Below are 6,000 nucleotides of genomic sequence, written 5' to 3'. Positions count from 1 at the left end.
CTGGGCATCAGAGGAGATGCCTTCTCAAAAAAAATGAAATAAAATAAAATAAGAGATTATTAAATTCTTCCTTGTTATTTTGTTGAGAAAATTTTAAAGTTAAATCCATGCAGTTAAGCCTAGAGAACAAATCAAATTCATCATTTAATATAAGTTGGCATTTTTTATCTGACTAAAATGGAAGAAGGGGATTAAAAAACTTTCTCTCATTTCAAACACTGTATCTCAAAACCTGAAGCTCCACTGTATGGGGAAAGATATGAATACATTATTATTTTCTTTTTTTTAACCTAGAAAGACATGAGTTGTCATTTGAAAAACTACTTATTTTTCAAGCACCTGTGGGGGAAAAGAAAAAAGGAAAAAAGTAGCATTAAATCCCTTTTGGACACATGATTACATAAATCTCTAATATCTGATTGTCAGATGGAGGAGAATGAGATAAAGCTCAACAATTTTAAAAGACTAGTTTTATTCCCGTTGGAAACTGTCTGATATAATAAAGCCCTTCAGAGGAAAGGTCTGACTCTGAAAAAGACTTGACCTTGGAAGTAGACTAGATTATTTGTTAAGAACACTCTCACCTAGAATGTATTCTGTTCAGGTATCATTGCTGAACCTCTGTGCTGAGTGAGTGCCCAGTCACACAGGACTTGATTCTCATGAGCCAGGATTCGTATAAAGAAATTGACTTTGATATGAAGTCACCACTTCCAGGAATATCGCTTTCAAGTCTATTCAGGTGGGAGACATAAATTTAAAAATATGTTTGGGAGAAATTTGATCAGTAGAGTAGAAAAAAACATAACATTTGCTTTAACTGTCAAGCAAGGAATTTGGAAAATAGACATGTGCCAGCTGAAAGGGAACTTGAGAAACACCTCATGGGAGATTGACGGGAAATGAAAATAGCTTGAGGAAAATCAGCAGCTTTGACAATATGTGAGTTAATTTGAAATAAATAAACTCTAAAAGTTTAAGATCTTAAGTGGTTCTTTACACTTTAACTTGCTAGAGGGGCAAATAATTTATCAGAATTCTAAGTTTAATTATTTCTTAGTATATCTATCCAAAAGATATTCTGTATAGAGAATTCACAAAAGAGAAAAGTGAGTAGAGTTGACTTATGTTCTTGTAAAGAACACAGGGATAAAAAAAAGTGTATAACTAGAAAGGGAAAGTCACACTGAAAATAAATGTAATTTCATGGTACTTTCTCCCATAATTTAACTTGCAGAAAAATTCATTAAGAGTTTGTGTTTGCATAGCAATGAACATATTTCTAACTATTTTAAAGTGCATTTTGTCAGTTTTTATCAACAATGACAATGATTGGAAAAATCAACTTTTAAAAAATGTGAATCTTGAATATCTTCCCTTTGAATAATGAATCAGAATGGAGAGGATAGATAAGCAAACTTGACATTATCTAACCTCAGAGGTGAATGATATTAGGGAAATATATTTGCTGTATTTCTGTGTACATTTTATATGTGCAGTGGTGATAGCAGTTACTGACAGCTGGCTAGGGTAATGTAACACCTGTTAATAAGCTACAGCACTGGGGAAGGCTCTAGAATAGTTATCAAAAATTATATAAATTGATTTTAATTTAGTTCTCCTTAGTCAAGTTTAGGATCTTCTGTAAATCTGCAGTTGGCTCAGTGACATTTTGAATGGTGAATCTTTGTTTTAGGACAGTAATAAATATTTACACAAGGGAAAAGGAATTTACATTGAGATTTGGCTTTTAGTTTTGCAAGATTTCAACCTTGCAAATTACATGTATTGCAAAATGCACGTCATGCGAAAGCAAAATTGTTGAAGTAAGCATGTCCTGAATTTACTCATTGGCCTGCTATACTTGCATACTTTGACTCCTGTATTTGCAGCCCACAGTTATCAAGGTGCAAAGAGAGGAGCCGAGGCAACTAAAAAGATAGAAATATAATAGAATTAATCACTTTTCCAAATATAGTCAGTCTGGGTCCAAGGAAGTAAGTTTTTTAAGTAGCAAAGGCATTTATGTGATTATAAATCTGGTACTTGTCACAATGTCCCCTTTTCCCACATGTATCTTTCTGTTTGAGCTGAACTCTCTAATTAACCTAATAAGAGGAGCCCCTAGTTTGAAACTCTGTCTCTTCTTTCTGTGAATGTATATGCCACATACTTGAAGATTTGACTAATTTTTCCAAATTGTATTATAAATTTGCCCCTTGAACAGAGTAAATTCTTTTTAATATCTAACAAATTACATTTTTTGTTCTATTATGTGTCTCAAAGAACCATTTTGCTCAAATTTAAAGTGCTAGTATATAAACTGAGCAGTTTTTTATTATCACTTTCATGTTGAAACATACTCTCATAGAGAAGAAAAAAAATAATGAAATATGCCTGAATTCAAGTGGCTAAACTCATATGAAATAAAGAGAGATAATTCAACTAATAATGTAACACATTCTTTCAAAGAATGTGTAAGTTGTTTCTGTGTCTCTTGGTTACTGTGAATAATGCTTCAATGAACAGGAGAGTGCACAAACTCTTTAAAATCCTAACTTCATTCATATATATATATACCCAGAATTGGAAATGATAGATCATATGGTAGTTCTATTTTTAAGTTTTCCAGGAGCTTCTATACTGGTTTCTGTAACAGCTAAACCATTTAACATTTCCACCAACAGTGTACAAGTGTTCCAATTTCTCCACAATTTTATCAACACTTGTTATCTTTGTGTTTTGCTTTGATTTTTTTGGATAATAGTTATTCTAACAGATGTTATGTGATATCTCATTGTGGTTATAATTTGCATTTGCCTGAAGATTAGTGATGTTGAACAACTTTTCTTATACCTGTAGGCCATTCGTATGTCTTATTTGGAGAAATGTCTATCCAAGTCCTTTACCCTTTTAAAAATCAATTTTTTTTTCGTTTTATTTTTGCTATTGAGTTGTGCAAGTCCCTTACATATTTTGGAAATTAGCTGCTTATCAGATACATGGTTTACAAATATTATCTCCCATTTCATAGGTTGCCTTTCATTCTATTGATTGTTTCTTTTGATGTGTAGAAGCTTTTTAGTTTGATGTAGTCTCATTTTTCCTTTTTTGCATTTGTTGCCTGTGCTTTTTGTGTCATATCCATGAAATTACTGCCAATTTTATGAATTGGCAGTTTTATGAAGTTGATGACCAATTTTATGAAGATTGTAACATATTTTCTTTTAGGGGTTATATGATTTCAGGTTTTATCATTAAGTCATTAATCCATTGTGAATTGATGTTTGTGTATGGTATAAGATAAAGGTCCAATTTACTTAAGTTTTTAACACTACGCTCAAGATGTGAAGTATAATAGTGTCTATTACTAGGGTTACTGTTATGATTTAGTGAGAAAATTTATGCAGAATGCTTAGGACAGCACCTATTAAATAATGATGACAGAAAGTGTTAGCCATTATTAATCCCAGTTTACTCTTGCTTGCTAAATCTAAAATTTGAAATGACTTACAGGCTCTGGAAATTATTTGAAATAATAATTTTTAGTTTTCCTTCTTTACACAGCACCTCAACCTCAAAGATCTACCATCCTAAAGTCATAAAATCTTTGCACATGTATTTAACAAACAGTATATCCCTCTCATCTATTTGCAAACTTTGCAAATTTTAAGTATTATGGATGAGAGACATGGCTTACCTTACAGAACATGGAAAAAGACAAAGCTATAAATAGATCATCACTTCTTAGCCAGGACTAAAGCAACTCTTCTCAAATACTTTTTCATCTTCTTCATCTCTGTATAAATACATAGATAGACAGGTAGATAGCTAGGTAAGTAGATTTTTGTTCATGCACACAAGCGCACACACACACCGACTTCTCTATGAGTTTAAATGTATTTGCTATAAGCAAAATGAGCACTTTTGAATGTTTTAGAATGCACTCTGATTCAGAAGTAAGTTAAAATCTTCAGCACTGTGTATTTTGATGGCAGATGTTAGATTGGTATAATAATAAGTTATATTTTAAAATGAAAGCCATAGCAAAAACAGAGAGCATAAACTTTAAGAATAAGAAGAACCAAAGAAATCAAACTACTGAAAATATCATTCAAAATTCAAGTATGTTTAAAATATTTTATTATATGTGTGAAAATGTAAGCACTGACAAGAAGCATTAAGTTGATGAAAGAGTCTCTTAATCTTCCTTGTAAACTTGTCTATCTGGCCAGCACTTCTGTAATTATATCCTAGATCACTCTCAAACTGGCAGGAACTCTTGTTCACTGAAAATCCTACTGACAATCTATTGTTCTCTTTTCTCTGTGGAGCCAACCTCTTGAATTGCATTGCATCTCTGTAAAATACACTTACCTGGGAATTCATACTTATTTATGTGATTGGATCATCTCACTTTTGGTCTTTCATATACTCATCCTCTATATCTGGGTATGTCAAGGCATGGGATGGCATTTTATTTCCTTCACTCCAACTTCTTTTTTTTATTTTACTTTAAATTCTGGGATACATGTGCAGAACGTGCAGGTTTTTTACATAGGTGTACATATGCCATGGTGGTTTGCTGCACCTATTCACCAGTCACCTAGGTTTTAAGCCCTGCATGCATTAGGTATTTGTCCTAATGCTCTCCCTCCCCTTCCAAGACCCCCACCCCTCAATAGGCCCTGGTGTGTGATGTTCCCCTCCCTGTGTCCATGTGTTTTCATTGTTCAACTCCCACTTATGAGTGAGAACATCTAACTTCTAATTAAACGGAAATGAGGTGGGACAGTAGAGTGACTGAAAAAGTACTCCTGGGTACAGAAGGTTATAAAGTGTGTTTAAAAGTACTATAAAAAGCTTACCAGTAAATGGCCGGGCGCAGTGGCTCACGCCCGTAATCCCAGCATTTTGGGAGGCCGAGGCGGGCGGATCACGAGGTCAGGAGATCCAGACCATCCTGGCTAAAAAGGTGAAACCCCGTCTCTACTAAAAATACAAAAAAAAAAAAAAAAAAAAAATCACTTAGACGGCCGCAATGGCGGGCGCCCGTAGTCCCAGCTACTCGGGAGGCTGAGGCAGGAGAATGGCGTGAACCAGGGAGGAGGAGCTTGCAGTGAGCGGAGATCGCGCCGCTGCACTCCAGCCTGGGCAACAGAGCGAGACTCCGTTTCAAAAAAAAAAAAAAAAAAAAAAAAAGCTTACCAGTAAATAAGATGTATTGAAATGGTACAGACTACCACTGTTAGAAAAAAATTAATAATGGAAGATTGTAAAATGACATACTTGATTCTGAGGACATTCTTTTTTCATTTATTTAAGAAATGTTTATTAAGCAACTACTGCAACTACTGGGAAATACACTGGAGTTTCATAAGTAAACAAAAATAAAGTATACACGTAAATAAGCAATCCCTATGCAATGAGGTACTTAATGAAAAAGTGTGATTGCAAGCACCTAAGAAGAACACTCGGTAGCTTTAATTTGAAAAACAGCGTAGATCATTTGTAACAAATGGAGTTAGTACCCTACTTACATCTCTTTAACCTTACCACTTGAATGACTGTTGTCCGACTTGCAACTAATGGTATCTGAATCCTTTGACTAGAAGACTTAGGAGGGGAGGAAAACCATTGTGGCAAGTGCCTATCAAGCCAAAAATACCAGAAAATTAACAACACTCCCTCATTCCTCCAGAAGCAGCCCTCAATCAATGACTAACAGGAGTTAGAGGTTAAAGACCCCAGTTTATTTGTCTCTTTTGTGAAATAACTCTGAGACTTGTATGTTATATAATTTCCCAGAGTTTTCTAAAAGATTTGAACTCCAGTCACCCATAAAAGCTGCTAACTTCTGTTTCCTTCCCTTCTTTGCCTCACCACTTTCCTACAAGTGTTTCTTGGATCTCCCAAATAAGCTATTCTCCCTCCAATCTTCATTTCAAGGTCTGCTTCTGGAGAATGCAAACGAAAACACCATCTAATCTAACAATTTCA

At 34.3% G+C, this 6,000-nt stretch overlaps 1 long non-coding RNA gene across 1 annotated transcript in view; it reads left to right on the top strand.

The window, feature by feature from the left end:
- Positions 1-603: 603 nt before the first annotated feature.
- Positions 604-6,000, top strand: part of LOC105369839 (uncharacterized) — a 34,784-nt gene continuing 29,387 nt past the window's right edge. Inside the window, exon 1 of the long non-coding RNA XR_001749105.1 lies at positions 604-742. This is a non-coding gene — a long non-coding RNA (uncharacterized LOC105369839). The remainder of the gene's footprint in view (positions 743-6,000) is intronic.

Source organism: Homo sapiens, chromosome 12, assembly GCF_000001405.40.
Source record: "Homo sapiens chromosome 12, GRCh38.p14 Primary Assembly".
In the NCBI taxonomy this organism is placed as follows: Eukaryota; Metazoa; Chordata; class Mammalia; order Primates; family Hominidae; genus Homo; species Homo sapiens.
Note: the sequence above shows the minus strand (reverse complement) of the source record. Positions and strands in the feature narration are given on the sequence as shown.